General features: G+C 38.6%; 1 protein-coding gene across 2 annotated transcripts in view; it reads left to right on the top strand.

Annotated features, from left to right (window-relative positions):
* Window positions 1-18,487, top strand: part of GEMIN5 (gem nuclear organelle associated protein 5) — a 50,801-nt gene that overhangs the window by 4,798 nt on the left and 27,516 nt on the right. The window contains exons 4-13 of one of the 2 annotated variants that reach the window (NM_001252156.2): window positions 1,164-1,315; window positions 1,840-1,956; window positions 4,755-4,887; window positions 5,864-6,029; window positions 7,340-7,552; window positions 8,860-8,945; window positions 11,989-12,071; window positions 13,311-13,447; window positions 15,410-15,483; window positions 16,235-16,416. In NM_001252156.2, the coding sequence (NP_001239085.1) occupies window positions 1,164-1,315; window positions 1,840-1,956; window positions 4,755-4,887; window positions 5,864-6,029; window positions 7,340-7,552; window positions 8,860-8,945; window positions 11,989-12,071; window positions 13,311-13,447; window positions 15,410-15,483; window positions 16,235-16,416 (1,343 nt within the window). Of the gene's footprint in view, window positions 1-1,163; window positions 1,316-1,836; window positions 1,957-4,754; window positions 4,888-5,863; window positions 6,030-7,339; window positions 7,553-8,859; window positions 8,946-11,988; window positions 12,072-13,310; window positions 13,448-15,409; window positions 15,484-16,234; window positions 16,417-18,487 lie in introns of both variants that reach the window. The other variant, NM_015465.5, reaches the window with a different exon arrangement.

Genomic DNA, 18,487 nt, shown 5'->3' with positions numbered 1-18,487 from the left:
ATACAATAGTGTAATGACTGGCCAGGAACTAGAGTTACGTGTATCAACATGGATGAATTACAAACAGAATGAGTGAAAAAAACAAGCTGCAGGAAAATAGATGATAGCATTTATGTGCAGTTTTAAAATATGCAAAATCTATATCTTATTTAGGAATATATACAAAGAAAGGCTAGGAATGATATAACACAATTCACAAATAGAGTTTGACCTCTGGGTAGAGGAAGAAAAGGAGAAGAGATCTGGCAAGGAGAGAGGTTTGATTGAAGTGGAATGTACAGAGGACTTCAGCTCTATTGGTAATTATTTTTCTTAGGCAGGGTAGTAGATTACTTTTTTTATGTATCTGAAGTCATTCATTTTTAAAAAGCTATTAGAATTTCTCAGTTTCTTTTGAATTCATAAAATGACAGCCTTGGAATATGCAGGTCTAGAGTGTAGAATTCTGCAACTTTTGTTAAGTTCACAGTTTAAAAAGTAGTATCACTTATAAAGAAAGAGATTATTTTCCAGTGCACTAGGACAAAATTATCTCTAGTTAGAAGAGTTGGCCGGGTGTGGTGGCTGATGCCTATAATCCCATCACTTTAGGAGGCCAACGCAGGTAGATTGCTTGAGCCCAGGAGTTTGAGACCAGCCATGAGCAACATGGTGAAACCTCATCTCTACAAAAAAATACAAAAATTAGCTGGGCATGGCATGTACCTTTAGTCCCAGCTACTCAGTCCCAGGCTGAGGTGGGAGGATTGCTTGAGCCTGGGAAGTCAAGGCTGCAGTAAGTGGTGATTGTGCCACTGCACTCCAGCCTGGGCAACAGAGAAGGAAAAAAGAAGAGTTGCTGCACCCTTGCAAAAACTATGAAAATTCCCTTAGAACAAAATCATGGTCCACTGTGAGTTTTGTACCAGGCAACATACATAGTATTACCTAGTGCCAAGAGTTTGATCATAGAGAGAAGGGTTTTAACAAAACCAGGAGGCATAAGGTGAGCACTTTAAAAAAAGGAAAAAGCAAAATTATTTTTTGTCCTCTTCCCTCCTCCGCCACCCCAAATGCACCTAACTTTAAGGAATGCGCCAATGGTAACTCCAAGCCAAAATGTTTACTAGAGACTCTGTTCTGTCTTCATTTTTTTAGTAATATTTCTAACTCTTGTTTTTTAGCTACAAGGATGGCATAGTGGTGATAATTGACATCAGTAAGAAAGGAGAAGTTATTCATAGGCTTCGAGGCCATGATGATGAAATCCACTCCATAGCCTGGTGTCCCCTGCCTGGTGAAGATTGTTTATCTATAAACCAAGAGGAAACTTCAGGTAGAGATGGTTTAAGGGAAAGTTAAGTCCACTTGAGACCTGAAGAACAGAACGGGTACAATTATATCATTTTTTATTTATTATTTATTTTTGGAGACGGAGTTTTGCTTTTGTTGCCTAGGCTGGAGCGTGATCTCGGCTCACCGCAACCTCCGCCTCCCGGGTTCAAGCGATTCTCCTGCCTCAGCCTCCCGAGTAGCCGGGATTACAGGCATGCGCCACCACGCCCAGCTAATTTTGTATTTTTAGTAGAGACAGGTTTCTCCATGTTGGTCAGGCTGGTCTTGAACTCCCGACCTCAGGTGATCCACCTGCCTCAGCCTCCCAAAATGCTGGGATTACAGGCGTGAGCCACTGCACCAGGCCGAATTATATCATTTTAATTATACCTAAAACTTCAAATTTTATAGTTCAGACCTATGAAAGAGATAGCTAAGTTTTGGAAACTCTTGCAAACTAATTTTTTTATATTAGTGCGTGTTTAATGTAAATTAAAAACAAAATTGCCACCTATCTCATAGAAGAAGCTGAAATTACCAACGGGAATGCTGTAGCACAAGCTCCAGTAACAAAAGGTTGCTACTTAGCCACTGGAAGCAAAGATCAAACCATTCGAATCTGGAGCTGTTCTAGAGGCCGAGGTAAGATTGATCTTTCTTTTGTGATGTAACCTATGTTGATCTGGTGGAAGTAGAGGGTTTTCTGTTCTTATTGTCCTGAGGGTGTGTCATCTATTTGAGAGCAGTTCTTCACTTTTTGGTCTAGAATTCTGCTTCCTCATTTGAGCCTGGCCTAGACTCTCTATTCTCTCAACATCTGGCCTTAGAGATTAGTATTTCCCATGCATTCCAGGAGAAGACAAGGATCTCTTGCTTTATAGAAGGGTCAGTGTTTGGCATGGAGAGCAGAATATTTGTAATAAAAACAGGAATATTAGAACATGATATGGCCTAAGCCAGGAGAATGGAAAATATCTTAAGAGTTAGAGCTTTTAATGCACAAATGCAGAATAAATTACATACACCCAGCATAGAATTATGTGTAAAAGCTCATTTTATCCAAATTATAGAGCCCCTCAATCATTTAGCTTTCCCAAATGTCTCTTTGAACAGAACTTTTATCTTTAAGTTTAAAAATTGAGAGAAACTCTAGGCATAATGAATATTTATAGTATATCATAGAATATAACCTTTATAGTAAAAATCTTGTTTTTCTCTTTCTAGCGGGCTTCTCTTCTTTCTTCATTTTATTTTATTTTTTTTGGCAGTTTTTTAAGCTGTGGTGGAAAATATAACATTTGCCATCTTTATCACTTTTAAGTGTACATTTAAGTGGTATGAAGTACACTCTAAAGTTGTGCAACTGTCACAGCCACCCATCTCCAGAATTCTACTCTCCATTTCCCCCTCCCCCAGGCCCTGGCAACCATCATTCTGCTTTCAGCTCTATGATTTTGACTACTCTGAGTATTTCCTTTGAGTGAAGTTATACATATGATATGTCTTTTTGTGATTGGCTTATTTCACTTAGCATATATCCCCGAGGTTCATTGATGTTGGTACCGTATGTCAGCATATCCTTCCTTTCTAAGGCTGAATAATATTCCATTGTGTGTATGTCCCACATTTTACTTACCCACTCATCCACTTGTTATAAATAAAATTTCGGTGTGGCAAAAGAAATAGCACTCAAATATAAAACTTTCTTTTTAATTCTCAGCAAGGCAATGTACTTCTATAGAAGGGTGCGCCCTTACAGATGGAGCAATGGTGAGCGCACACTTGGACAACGGAGGGGAGGGGTTCTTATCCCTGACGCATGTGGCCCCTGCTGCTGTGTCGTTCCCCTATCAGCTAGGGTTAGACCGCACAGGCTAAACTAATTCTGATTCGCTGATTTAAAGAGAGTGCCGGGGTAAGTGGTTTGATGGGAGAAAATGGTTATGGCAGGAAAAATGGTTATGGCAGAGCAGGAAATCAGAATGAGTCAGGGTGGAGCAGGTAATCGGAATGAGTCAGGATGGAGCAGGTAATCGAAAAAGGTTGCTTTTACGAGGAAGTTAAGTTTAAAAACAGAAGCCAAATAATTGAACATACTGACATATTGATTCTTTGAAGAGAAATTTAGAACTCATATCTCACACACTGATGGACATTTGGGTTGCTTCCATGTTTTACTATTCTAAATAATATGCTATGAGCATGGATGTACTTTCTACTTTATTTGAAACCATGATAGTTTTATCATATTTGCCCAAATGCATGTAAAGCAAGTAGCACAGCACTTGGAATGTCATCCAGGCTTCATCAGTGGTAGGTAACTAATAGTATAATTTGGGAAGACAGAACTTTTTTAAGGTTTACAGGCTACTTCTTGGCATACTGCAGCTAAAACTCCAAGTGGGAACATAAGGCTGAGGATCCCTCCAGGAGGGTAACCTCTAGACTTAGAGGTGTCTGGTAAAATGGCCTTCAATTGTGGTTGTGCAGCAGAATCAGCTGGAGAGTCTTTGGAAAAATGTAGGTTCTTGTACCCCACCTCAGATCTACTGAGTCCGAATCTCTAGGAGTTAGGCCCTGGCGTATGTATTTTTTAAAGTTCCACCTGTGGTTCCGATGCACAATACAGCTTAAAAAACGGTGATTAGAAGCATGTCGGGTGGAGGTACTCCCCACCCACAGCACGTTCACTGCCAAATTTTTCTTTGTTGGATTTCTTGCCGACTAGAAATAGTAATCCCAACCTCTGTCCTTTTCACTTTGGAGTTATGTCACTGCAATACTTTTGGGTACACAACTCAGCTGTGTTACTAGCTGGGTTCTCAGTTTTACTTGGGAACTCATTTTCCCAGACGAAAAAATACTCTTTTTCTTTTGAGGCAGAGTCTCTCTCTGTCGCCCAGGCTGGAGTGCAGTGGCACGATCTCAGCTCACTGCAAGCTCCACCTCCTGGGTTCATGCCATTCTCCTGCCTCAGCCTCCCGAGTAGCTGGGACTACAGGTGCCTGCCACCACGCCCGGCTAATTTTTTTGTATTTTTAGTAGAGACAGGGTTTCACCATGTTAGCCAGGATGGTCTCGATCTCCTGACCTCGTGATCCTCCCGCCTCGGCCTCTCAAAGTGCTGGGATTACAGGCATGAGCCACCGCGCCCGGCCAAAAAAAAAAAATACTCTTAATACGTTGAGGTTGTCAAGATAGCCTGTCGAAGCTTGTTTGACCTAAATGTAGCTAGACTAGTATTAACCAGTATTTATAGTGATTAAAATTATAACCATAATAATGGTTAAAATTGTAACCATTGGAAAATGAGATCTGAATTCTAAGTAGCCAAACTAACAAGCTTTTACAGCGCAGACTGTGTGTTATGAACCACCGGTGACTTCATGCATGTAGTTTCACTGTCTTGAGTGCCCACTGGCCTTCTTTTTAATCTGCAGGGGTGATGATTTTGAAATTGCCCTTTCTGAAGAGAAGAGGAGGGGGTATAGACCCAACTGTTAAAGAGCGCCTTTGGTTGACACTCCATTGGCCCAGCAATCAACCAACACAGCTGGTATCTAGCTGTTTTGGGTAAGTCTTTTTTGGTCATGCTTTCTCAGATATATTTTGTTTTTCTATTTGGCCTCAAGTCCTCCTAGGATGGAGAAAGTAATGGCCAAGGCTTGTATTATGATGGGCCATTTGAAATGGAAAAATTATGAGACTAATGCCTGTGCTATCTACTAACAGAGCTGTAAAAAGATCACATAAGTATAGTCCGGCAGTTAGGAATATGGACTCTGAAGTCAGAACTAAATTTCAGAATCACTTTGTCACTTACTGCCTTGTATTCCTGAGCAAGACCCTTTACTTTTCTGAGCTTCAGTCACTTCAAGTGTAGAAAGGGGAGATGGTTATAATATTTTCTCTTAGGTTGGATGGCTATGCCCATTCAGTAAACAAAGTTCATTGACTACCTACTTCTAGTGGCTGGAGATAAATCTGTTTAAAGGGTAGTCCAATATACTCACATGGTTCAAGAAGAACGAAAGTATATAATAAACTGTCTTTCTGTCTTCCCTAGCTACTTGGTTCCCCTTTCTGTGATTAAATTTTTTTTTTTTTTTGAAACAGGGTCTTGCTCTGTCACCCAGGCTGGAGTGCAGTGGTGCAAACACAGCTCACTGCAGCCTCAACCTCCTGGGCTCAAGCAATTCTCCCACCTCAGCCTCCCAAGTAACTGGGACCATAGATGTGCACCACCATGCCCAACTAATTTTTTTAATTGTTTGTAGGGACGGTCTCACTTTGTTGCCCAGGCTGGTCTTGAGATCGGGGCTTCAAGCAATCCTCCTGCCTTGGCCTCCTAGAATGCTGAGATTACAGATGTGAACTACTGCACCCAGCCTTCCCAGAGATATTTTGTGCATATTTTCAGCATATGCAATTTTTCTCTCCTTAAACGACAACAAATCATTTTGCAGCTATGAGCCCAGACTCTGTCTCAACAGTCACTTGTTTTCAGATCGTTTGTAAAAGAACTAATGCTTATGTTTTTCCTTCACAGAGGTGAACTGTTGCAATGGGATCTCACTCAATCTTGGAGACGGAAATACACCCTCTTCAGTGCCTCATCAGAAGGGCAAAATCATTCAAGAATTGTGTTTAATTTATGTCCTTTACAAACAGAGGATGACAAACAGCTATTACTTTCTACATCAATGGATAGAGATGTAAGAATGCTTATTTTCACTCAGCATTGTAGAGCAGCAGTTTACAACTTGGGTGGGATGAGAGGGCTTTTTCAAAGCACCTGTCAAGTCGTAATACTCCACCCCTGACTCCAATTTCAGAGTTACTGCTACAGATCAGCACTGAATATATCAATAGCTCACATGTAAGGAGAATGTGAAGACCCACCAAAATAGTTTTTTGTTAAAGCAGACATAATAAAGAAGGGTAGTTTTGCCCAGGGAAGGATGTATTAGGTCAAGCTTGTCCAACCCACAGCTCAGGATGGTTTTAAGTTCATCAGCTGTTGTTAGTGTTAGTGTTTTTTTTTTTTCTGAGACAGAGTCTTGCTCTGTCTCCCAGGCTGGAGTGCAGTGGTGTGATCTTGGCTCACTGCAAGCTCCACCTCCCCAGTTTTACGCCATTCTCCTGCCTCAGCCTCTCGAGTAGCTAGGACTACAGGCGTGTATCACCTACGCCCAGCTAATTTTTTGTGTGTGTTTTTAGTAGAGATGGAGTTTCACTGTGTTGGCCAGGATGGCCTCGATCTCCTGACCTCGTGATCTGCCTGCCTCAGCCTCCCAAAGTGCTGGGATTACAGGCGTGAGCCACGGCGCCTGGCCTAGTGTTAGTGTACTTTTTGTGTGGCCCAAGACAATTCTGCTTCCAGTGTGGCCCCAGAAAGCCAAAAGATTGGACACCCCTGTGTTAGGTCCTCATGCTATGGTTTATCCTGGTTTGTAGTGTATGTAGCAGAATAGAAATCTTTCAGAGAGAATTGACTTTATTTGAAAGCCTATTACCTTACTGTTTTGCAGTTAAGCTAGGCTTATTTGGTAGACTTCATTTTCTCCCAAGCCTGTCTCTTAAACAAGTGATGATTAAAAATTTACCACTCCTCCTTCCCTGGGTATGATAAGGTGTTTTGCCTTTTGAGAGAGCAGTTCTTTGATTTTTCCACTGTGCTGAGGCCATCTTCTTCCTTAGAGTTTGCCAAATGAGGGGGTTACCAGTGCTATAATAGGACAGAAAGACCACCGAACTTGGAGACAGGAGGCGTGGGTTCTGGTTTATTAATTGTGTAACCCTGAATTCACGTGACATCTTTGGGAATAAATATATTTTAAGATCCCTTTAAGCAACATAATTTATTACTATTTTTTTTTTCTTAGCAGTGCTTTCTTCAATTCCTGCTGGAAGACATGCATTATCCTTACCCAGTCTTTGAGCCTATCCCATTTGACATATCAGGTTTTTTTTCCTATTTCTCTGTTCTTTTTTATGTTTAGGCCCTTACCGTTAATCTTTGCAGGTAAAATGTTGGGACATAGCCACCTTGGAGTGCAGCTGGACCCTTCCTTCCCTTGGTGGGTTTGCATACAGCCTGGCTTTCTCTTCTGTGGACATAGGCTCTTTGGCCATAGGTGTTGGGGATGGCATGATCCGTGTATGGAATACACTCTCCATAAAGAACAACTATGATGTGAAAAATTTTTGGCAAGGCGTGAAGTCCAAGGTTACAGCGGTAAGGATTCTTTTTTTGAGCTTGTTTTGAACTTTTTTTTTTCCAAATAATTCTCTTTTATGCCTGTTCATTTAAATGCGCTCTGTTGAGAATCAAAAGTTTTAAAGTATTTTCAATGAAGTTTGAAACTAGGAAAGCAGAATGATCCTGTAACCAAACCCATTATCCTCCAGAGTTTAAATTTATTAAGGCTCTGTTCATCTCAGCATTTTTTCTAATAGTAAGAAGTTAGAAATAGCCTGACTGTATATTCATAGAAAATGCGTTAAGTTATAAGATAACCAAATGTTGGAATGGCATCAAATTATTGAAAATGATAATGTAGATTCCTTCTTCCTTGATGTGGAAAGGTATATAAATGATTTATGAAAAATGTCAATTATAAAACATGGAAAGCAGGTTATAAAACAGTATGTGTAATTTTTTTGGTTTTCTCTAAAATGATACCTTTCTTTTGGCTATTGAATCTAAAGGTAATAAATTTTTATGGTTTAAAAAGAAAATCAAACAACACAAAAATAGAGAAAGGAAACATTTTTTTCCTACCCTACCCTCCACTCCAGTCCCCCACTTGAATAATCCAGAGAACCACTGTGGACAGTTTATGATCTATCTTTTCAAATTTTGTAAACTATTTAATATTAATAGAACTGTATTTTCTAAATTCTTCCAGAATCTCTTATTCCGACTCGACAGTGTATAATGCATATCATTTACGTATTTGAACTCATTTGTTTTTTTCAATTGTGTATAAGTTTATTCACAAAAATATCTGGAAAGAGAGATACAACATCTGCAGTCGGTTTTTTGAATGAAAGATTACAGATGACATTGACTTTGTTTTTTTTGTTGTTTTGTTTTGTTTTGTTTTTTGAGACAGAGTCTCACTCTGTCGCCCAGGCTGGAGTGCAGTGGCACAATCTCGGCTCACTGCAAGCTCCGCCTCCCGGGTTCACGCCTTTCTCCTGCCTCAGCCTCCCGAGTAGCTGGGACTACAGGCGCCCGCCACCACGCCTGGCTAATTTTTTGTATTTTTAGTAGAGGCAGGGTTTCACTGTGTTAGCCAGGATGGTCTCGATCTCCTGACCTCGTGATCCGCCCGCCTCTGCCTCCCAAAGTGCTGGGATTACAGGCGTGAGCCACTGCGCCCGGCCGACTTTGTTTTTAATACCCTTTTTCTCCTTTAAATAATGAAGAAATCAGAGCAAGACAGTTTTCCCTTTGGATGCTTAAAGGGTAATGTAAGGATTCCTTTAACTATATGCCCCACTTCTTATATTCTCACTTGGAAACTCTTTTTTTTGTAGCTGTGCTGGCACCCAACCAAGGAAGGTTGCTTAGCTTTTGGAACTGATGATGGAAAAGTGGGATTGTATGACACCTACTCCAACAAGTAAGAAATGGGTGATTCTTCTTCCATTGTGGCCCGGGGAGCCAAAAGGTTGGCCACCCCTGCTCTAGAATAATCCCTCACTTTCCTTTTCATAACGTTGCCTTTTCAATTTGAAGACCACAAATCAGTTGTTTGGTAGACTCTTCCACATTTTGGACTTGTCAGTTATCTCCTTGTGGTAGCTTCTAACTCATTTCCCTGTTCCCTATGTTTCGTATGAACTAGAAGTTATGTCTAGAACTACATTCTCCACTACAGTAGTCATTAACCACAGGTGATTACTGATCACTTGAAAGGTGCCAAGTCCGAACTGAGATGTGCTGTAAGTGTAAAATACACACCAGAGTTCCGAGTCTTAATATTTAAAGAAAATTAAAAATCTCAATAATTATTTTATTTTGATTACATTTTAAATAATACTTTCAGTGGGCTGAGTTAAATAAAATACATTACTAAAATTTTACTTTTTTCTTTTGCTTTTTTAAAATATGGCTACTAGAAAACTTTAGGTTACATATACAGTTCATCTTTGTGGCTTACATTGTTTATTTTTGTACACCGCTGCTCTAGAGGCTTGATTAGAATCCAGACCTGTGTTGTTCAGTCTGGTAGCCACATGTGGCTATTTATACTTAAAGTAATTAAAATGAAATAGAAATTCAGTTCCTCAGTCACACTAGCCCTATTTTAAATGCACAAGAGGCATCCGTGACTAATGGCTACCTTATTGAACAACACTGTTCTAGACCAGGCGTTGGTGAACCATGGTCCATGAATTAAGAATGGTTTTGCTTTTTAAGTGGCTGGAGAAAAATCAAAAGAATGTTTTATGACATATGAAGATTAAATAAAATTCAGATTTCAGTGTCTGTAAGTGAAATTTTATTGGGACATGGCTGCACTCCTTTGTTTACATTCTGTCTGGCTGCTTTCATACTACCACAGCAGAGTGGAGTAGTTGTGGCAGGGACCACATGGCTCACAAAGCCTGAAATATTTACAGAAAAGGTTGGCCAGCCTCTGTCTTAGATCATTCATTTCTGAGTGAAAATCATTTATGATACTGCAGAGCTGTCCTTTTTTTTTTGGAGACAGAGTTTCGCTCTTCTTGCCCAGGCTGGAGTGCAGTGGTACGATCTCAGCTCACCAAAACCTTCGCCTTCTGGGTTCAAGCGATTCTCCTGCCTCAGCCTCCTGAGTAGCTGGGATTACAGGCATGTGCCACCACACCTGGCTAATTTTGTATCTTTAGTAGAGACAGACAGGGTTTCTCCGTGTTGGTCAGGCTGGTCTTGAACTCCTAACCTCAGGTGATCCACCCTCAGCCTCCCAAAGTGCTGGGATTACAGATGTTAGCTACCGTGCCCGGCCAGAGCTGTCCTTTGTATATGCAGTTCTTGAAGTATTCATGTAGAACCTACATGCAGTTGACTATTCTCCTTTTTTAACTCTCAAAAAAGAACACTATTTTAAGGCCTGGCACGGTGGCTCACGCCTGTAATCCCAACACTTTGGGAGGCTGAGGCGGGCGGATCCTGAGGTCAGGAGATTGAGACCATCCTGGCTAACACGGTGAAAGCCCGTCTCTACTAAAAATACAAAAAATTAGCTGGATGTGGTAGTGGGCGCCTGTATTCTCAGCTACTCGGGAGGCTGAGGTAGGAGAATTGCTTGAACCCAGGAGGCGGAGGTTGCGGTGAGCCGAGATCGTGCCACTGTGCTCCAGCCTGGGCAACAGAGCAAGACTCCATCTCAAAAAAAAAAAAAAAAACTGTTTTAAAGATTTATTTAAAGTACACTGTTTTTAATCAAATAAAACTTAAATAGTTCTATATCACCATGAAATTGCTAATTCTATTAAATTATTATATCCTGGTTATTATAAGCTGAATATTCAGACTAACAGTACAAAAGCCATGTAATAGCCAGAGAGTGGTGGGTATTGCCCTAGAGCTATTGTTAGGCATTTTGCCAGAACTGCTTATTCTATTTCTTTTAGATATAGGCTAAAGTAGGCCGGGCACAGTGGCTGCCAGCACTTTGGGAGGCCGACGCGGGCAGATCACGAGGTCAGGAGATCGAGACCATCCTGGCTAACACTGTGAAACCCCATCTCTACTAAAAGTACAAAAAATTAGCCGGGCTTGGTGGCAGGTGCCTGTAGTCCCAGCTACTCCAGAGGCTGAGGCAGGAGAATGGTGTGAACCCAGGAGGCGGAGCTTGCAGTGAGCGGAGATTGCACCACTGCACTCCAGCCTGGGTGACAGAGCGAGACTCCGTCTCTAAAACAGAAAAAAAGAAAATAAATAGGCTAAAGTATAAATTAGCCTGTTTATAAAATATAAATTTCTTTTAGAAATTTTGATTTATTCTCTAGATTGATCACTATAAATTTGTCAGATAAATGGAAGTAAGTCAGCTGCTAATTATTCATAGGCTCTGGAATTCTACAATCATACAAAGAATGTATGATAATTTATGGTAAAAGAAATAACAATGCTGCCTGGTTTTTTCTACAAAGTTAAGCATTCTTTACTGACACATCACATATCATTACCACAACAACCTTCAAAAATGCTCTTAGGAGTACGCCTTCTTTAAAAGACAATCACAAACTGAAAATCTCTCTACCCTGAAATCTTGTCTCAATTTAGGAAATGTGATGTTAATGGCACAGAGTAAGTCTAAAATGACTTCTCATCTTTTACATGACCGTAAAGTGAATACATTTGGGTGGTGATAATATATGTTCTGGCTAGATGGGTAAGAGTAACATTTTTTGGGGGGTAAAATATGTTTGGGACTTAATCGTTTTGGTAGTAAATGTCATTATTTGATATTTAAATATAATTTAAATGTAAATATTATATGATAATTAACTGCTTTACAGTCAACTATTTGGAGCAAGATATTGTTGAATTATTTTTCTCCAATTATTAGTAGTTATGTTTATAATGGGGACCTTTTAGAAAAAGATGGTCTGTTTTTCATTATGCCTTTTTGTTTAAATCTCCATTTGTTCTCTCTCCCTGCTCTTCTAAAGGCCTCCACAGATTTCTAGCACATATCATAAGAAGACTGTATATACTTTAGCCTGGGGGCCACCAGTACCCCCCATGTCACTTGGTAAGTATCTGAACAATTCCATAACAAATATGAGAGTATTCTTCCTTCAGTTTAATCCTAAAATATTAAAGATGGAAAGAGTCATAAATGGTCTAGTGCACTGACTGCTTATGTGGGCTACTTATGTCCCCAGGGGTTCATGAAGACAGTAGTGGCAGATGATAAATCACAGTTCCTGGGAGAAACCATTTACCCATAATAAGCTTCCCCAAACTCACTAAAGCATTGTTCTTCTATTTGATCTGAAATTTTTCATTGTATGTATAGTTATCATGCTGGGTCCTGATACCCAGTCTAATATTCTTCACTAAAACTTGCTGTCTCTTTTTAATTTTATCAGAATTAGAATGATACTTCAGTATATTAATGGAATAATATCTATTTTCACCCACAGGAAAAGCAAACTTAGAGTTTCTGAAATGATCTCTTGCCTTTGATTCAGCATTCTGCTCCTTTCCCTCTTCTAGCCCCTCAGCCTTGTCTTTCTTTTTCTTATTCCTAAAGTAATGAGTCTTTTCTATTAGCTTTTTACATAAGTGTATTCATCAAAAGTCTCTGATAAACTTTTCTTAACCATCTATGATGAAACATCTGTAAATTTCTATAGGAATTGCATTACATAGAGAGGATAAGTAGATTTATCAGAACTCAAGTAGCATTGGAATTTGTAGTTCATTTATGCAACAAATGTTTACTGGGTATTTGATTTGTGATCTACCAGTGGTAAAAGTAAAACTTGCTCTTATAGAAACCCACCAGAATTACTGTTTGCTTCTTAAAAATTAACAAGAAGATTGCTGTGATACTAAGGAAATCACTGCTTTGATGACATCTCTTTGTTATAAGACATAGAAAGTCCTACTGTGCTATGTAATTCCCAAAGAGTACTCATTTCTGGAAGAAAAAGCAAATTCTCAGAAGCTTTTGAGAACATATATGTTTGTTTTCTGATCCCAGCTTTTGGACCCCTATTATTATGAATACCAGAAGACTGTTTAAAGCAAATATGTTACATCACATAAATTAACCTAGAATTATAGTAGTATAGTTTTTTTACTTCTGCTCCCAACAACTGTGTTCAGGTGGAAAGAACAGTGATTTTATTCCAATGTATTAGAATGTTTCAAATATATAGTTCTTTTAAAACAACTATGTAGTATGGTATGGTCATACTATAGCAACAAATAGTTAAGCTGATGAAGTACAAAACTGATAAGTTTCTTTTCTTATTTCATACAGGAGGAGAAGGAGACAGACCTTCCCTTGCTTTATACAGCTGTGGAGGAGAAGGGATTGTCTTACAGCATAATCCCTGGAAGCTTAGTGGAGAAGCCTTTGACATCAACAAACTCATCAGGGACACCAATTCAATCAAAGTGAGTTCTTGTGGTCCTGAAGTATTTTCTTTTTACATCACAGATCCCTCTGTGTTTCCCATCTTGCAAAATAAATGCTGTTATTGGAGATTACCATCATCATACTAAGTCAGATTTCTTAAATGTTCTTATAAGGCTGTGCATGAATTTGTGAGTTATATATCTTAGGAGTCTTTATCCTCGAATAAAACAAAGAGGTACTTCTCAGACAGTGAGTATGAGGCAAAAAAATAAAAAAGCCAAAAAAGAACTACTGAAAAAAAGGTCTGTCTCAATTGCAACAATGATTTATTATAAACTTTCAGGTGTTATGTATAAAGCATCCTTTTCAGGCCAACCACTTTCACCAAAGTGATGCTGTGGTAAAAATAACAATAATATAGTATCCAAATGCAACTGCATGGTGTTTTACTCAAGACAAAATTGTCATTTTGTTTTTAATTTTCTAGTAAAATGATTCTAGATTTACACGAAGCTACAAAAATAATACACATAATTTGCTTATATCCTTTACCCAGATTCCCACATTTAATTACATTTGTGTTCTCATGCTATCAGTATGTGCCAGAACTGTCTTTTTAAAGTCATACCTTAAATGTTGAGATTTCCTTATTTCCTTACCCTTTTTTGTGTGTGTGACAGAGTCTCACTCTGTCACTCAGGCTGGAGTGCAGTGGCGTGATCTTGGCTTACTGCAACCTCCGGCCTCCTAGGTTCATGAGATTCTCCTGCCTCAGCCTCCCAAGTATCTGGGACTGCAGGCATGGGCCACCATGCCCAGCTAATTTTTGTATTTTTTAAGTAGAGATGGGGTTTCACCATGTTGGCCAGGCTGGTTTTGAACTTCTGAGCTCAAGTGATCCACCTGCTTTGGCCTCCTTACCCTTTCAAATGAGTATTTTTATTTATTTACTTATTTATTTTTTGAGACAGAGCCTTGTTCTGTCGCCCAGGCTGGAGTGCGGTGGTGCGATCTCAGCTCACTGCAGCCTCCACCTCCTGGAATCAAGTGATTCTCATGTCTCAGCCACCTGAGTAGCTGGGATTACAGGCACGTGCCAAGACTGGCTAATTTTTGTGTCTTTAGTAGAGACAGGGTTTCACCATGTTGGCCAGGCTGTGATCTCGGACTCCTGGCCTCAAGTGATCCACCCCACTTGGCCTCCCAAAGTACTGATTATAGGCATGAGCCACCATGCCCAGCCCAAATGAGCATTTTTATATTATTGCTCATTACTTTTATGGCTAGTATAAAAGTAACATTTAGTTATAAATTGGGTTATATTGTTGATTATATTCCCTCATTGTCTTTAATTTTATCTAAACATTAACATTCAGCAATGAATAAGAGACAAAATTCGTGTTCCTAAGTCTCTTCTAATTTATTGGCACTTGAATGTGTGGATCAGAGGTTCATGCTAGGAGTCTGAGCTGGATATAGAAATTTTGAATCCCTTCACAATAAAGATAGTTGAAGAAGCTGTGGACATGTATGAGGTGGGTTAAAGAGACAATTAACAAGAGAAGAGGGCCCAGGCAGCCTTGGGGAATACCAGCATATAGATATGGGAGGGAAATGATTCAGGGAAAGAAGCTTTGAAGGGATAGAAAACAAGGAGAGTGTATATAGTTTTCTTTAAGGCCTCATGGTCCCCACATTGTCCAAGCTGATGGGCACAGATCAGTTTAATTAAGTATATATTTCACAAGGTTAAGCACTGTAAACATTTAGTACTTATTGGCCTTGGGGGTTTTTTTGTTTTGTTTTTTTGGCCCAGTTAGGAAATGAGAATTAGAATGCATGTTCTTAGTAATCCTTTTACTAATTATGTAGATTATTTACAAGAATAGCTGTTGTATAATTAAAACGTTTTTAAACTCTAGGGATTTTTTTTTCTCATGCTGTCATTGCTGATTTGTGAGATATGTATATAGTCAAGATTGGTTTGTTTTGCTTTCTAGTACAAATTGCCTGTACACACAGAGATAAGTTGGAAAGCAGATGGCAAAATCATGGCTCTTGGCAATGAAGATGGGTATGTATTTGCTTCTTTAAGATAAAAAATTTGCAATCGCACATATATTTGATCACAAGCTGACTAATGCCATCTGTAATGTTAGCTGGGGCGGCCCAGTTGTATTTGGTATTTTGATTTATTCTTGATATCCTCCGCTGATCCAGTAGTGCCTTGTGTCTTTGAGAACTACAGAATTATTTAGATATTTTCAGCCCATTGAGAGTATTTGGCTACACTGTATTTTGGCTGTCTTGTCCCTCACAAAATGGTCACCTCCTATGTTGAACTGCATAAATCTCCATTTTTTTAAAGTAAGCCTAGTCAGAAATGCTTTTTAGGTCTGTATCCTGACCAGTGTTAATCATAGTAACACAGTCATAATTCAGCCATTGATCTGTTAATTATTTTAGCTTCTCCCTATCATCATTTGTCATTAATGCCTGATGAACACAATTTTATCAAGCATTGTTAGAATGCTAGGAGATTGTTACACTGAGGTAGTGTGGAAAGTTAAAATTTCTAAAAATTAATTTTTTTAAGAAAAGAATTGTTAGGATATTGCTAGAATTTTTAAAAGCTAAATATACTTTTTGGAGAATAACTTTTTATACTTGATTTTTTATGAGAGAATGACCTTTGCAGTGATAGAAAGGGTTATCCTTTTCCACCTCATCTTTCCTTGACTGACGGAATGAGGGAGCTACTATTTGCATTGTAACTTGTAATTTGATCATCCATCTTTCTTGTTTTGATGTGTTTCTTATTCCAGATCAATAGAAATATTTCAGATTCCCAACCTGAAACTGATCTGTACTATCCAACAGCATCACAAGCTTGTGAATACCATTAGCTGGCATCATGAGCATGGCAGCCAGCCAGAATTGAGCTATCTGATGGCCTCTGGCTCCAACAATGCAGTCATTTACGTGCACAACCTGAAGACTGTCATAGGTAACTTTGGTTTCTTTCATACTGGGGATGATATCGTTTGTTCAGCTACTTTCCATTCTAATCTTTGTTACTTTTTACTTTATTTTTGACATTATAATAAAATAAGTATTATTCTTACTACTTTTTCTGTTTCAAAAGTGATAGATTCATCTTATTTTAAAATTCTTTCAAACATGACAAAAATGGTAACAGAAAATGAAGTTGGCCAGGCACAGTTGCTCACACCTGTAATCCTGGCACTTTAGGAGGCCACAACGAGAAGATTATTTGTGGCCAGGATTTTGAGACCAGCCTGTTAAATAGTGAGGCTCCGTCTCTACAAAAAATTGAAAATAAAAAACAAATTTGCCGGGTTAGAGGTGCATGCCTTTAGTCCCAGCTACTTGGGAGGCTGAGCTGAGAGGATCATCTGATTCTAGGAGTTTGAGGCTGCAGTGAGCTATATTTGCACCACTGCACCCTAGCCTGGGTTACAGAGCACACCCTATCTCAAAAAAGAAAGAAAAAAAAATGAAGTTTTCCCCTAAAATTTCATCATTCAATAACCAGTGTTATTGGCTTGCTATATATTTTCTCTAGATTTTATAAAGTCATAGCCTACATATGTATACATGTTAGTATATATTAATAGGTTTGCACTTCTGTGTACTTGTGTGAAAGAATAATCTTCTGTTCCTAGCTAAAAATAAATTGCTATATATAATATATAGTGCTTGCAGTTTTTTTCTCTAAATTTACAATATTTATCATGGACATCTTTTTATGTCAGTACACAAGGATCTATCTTGCTGTTATTAACAAATATCTGTCAGCCAGGCGCAGTGGCTCATACCTGTAATCCTAGCACTTTGGGAGGCCATAGTGGAAGGATAGCTTGAGACCAGGAGTTTGAAACCAGCCTGGGCAATGTAGGGAGACCCCACCTATACAAAAAATAAAAATTAAAAAAAAAACAGTTACCTGTTCATTCCATTATATGGGCTTACCATAATGTATCCATTCCACAATTAAATGACATTCAAATTATTTATTTTTTTTTACAATTTAAGTAGTATTACAATAAACTGCCTTATACATAGATCTTCGTGAACATGAATGAATAATTTTTGTATAGAAAATTCTAGAAGTGGAATTGCTAGGTAAAAAGATGTAGTTTTTTATACTTACTGCTAAGCGGCTCTCCAAAAACATTATGCCATTTAATACTTCCGCCAGCAGTTTTTGAGTGTTACACACAAACAGAGGACACATACCTCATTCCCGTGTTTGATTGCATCTGATTCTCACAATCCTGTGAGGGTGATAGGTAACGTTATCCTCATTTTCCCAATGATTACACTGAGGCCCAGAAAGGTTAGCTAACTTATTCAAGCAAGTAGCATCGCTAATACATGATAGGGCCTAGATTCAACCTTAGAGTGTCTAATTGCAGTGTCTGTATGTGTTCTAGCAAGTACTATTCCATGCTTAATGAGTTAACTTTCATATGGGTATAATTTATTCCATAAGAAATCTTAAATTTCACTGAGGCCCCTTCGGCACCTGGAAAACCATAGTAGGTGGTCAGAAGAGCCAGTTTTAAATATGAGTGAAGTGGGATTACTTTTTTTCCTAATATGAAGAAATTATAATCTGACACTAAATTGTTTTCAGAGTGCTATAAAACATGTGCTCTCAGCCATAGTGAAAATAGTTACATTTTTCATTTCTCTAGAATTTACTTCAGTAGTTTTCTAAGAATCCTATGTGTAACAAGAAAAAATATTTTTGGTTCTAGTAGTGACTCCTGAGTTAAAAGCAATATGGAAAAAGTATTAAAATGTAGATGTGTTTTCCTAGTAATAAATAGTAGACAGTGTATAACTAATGAACATAAGTTAGAAAGCTGATTCTGGTCCTTATGATTATTATTGGGATTCTAAATTAATCATCCACTTTATATCATATCTACTAAATAATAGAGAAAGGAAGAAAACTGCCAGAATCCATTTTAATTTTTACCTTCTTATTTTGAAATATTTGAGACACAGAGGAAAGTTATAAGAATTGTACAAAGAAATCGCATATACTT

Source organism: Homo sapiens, chromosome 5 (genome assembly GCF_000001405.40).
Source record: "Homo sapiens chromosome 5, GRCh38.p14 Primary Assembly".
Lineage (NCBI taxonomy): Eukaryota > Metazoa > Chordata > Mammalia > Primates > Hominidae > Homo > Homo sapiens.
The sequence above is the reverse complement of the archived record's forward strand: the minus strand, read 5'-3'. Positions and strand labels throughout refer to the sequence as shown.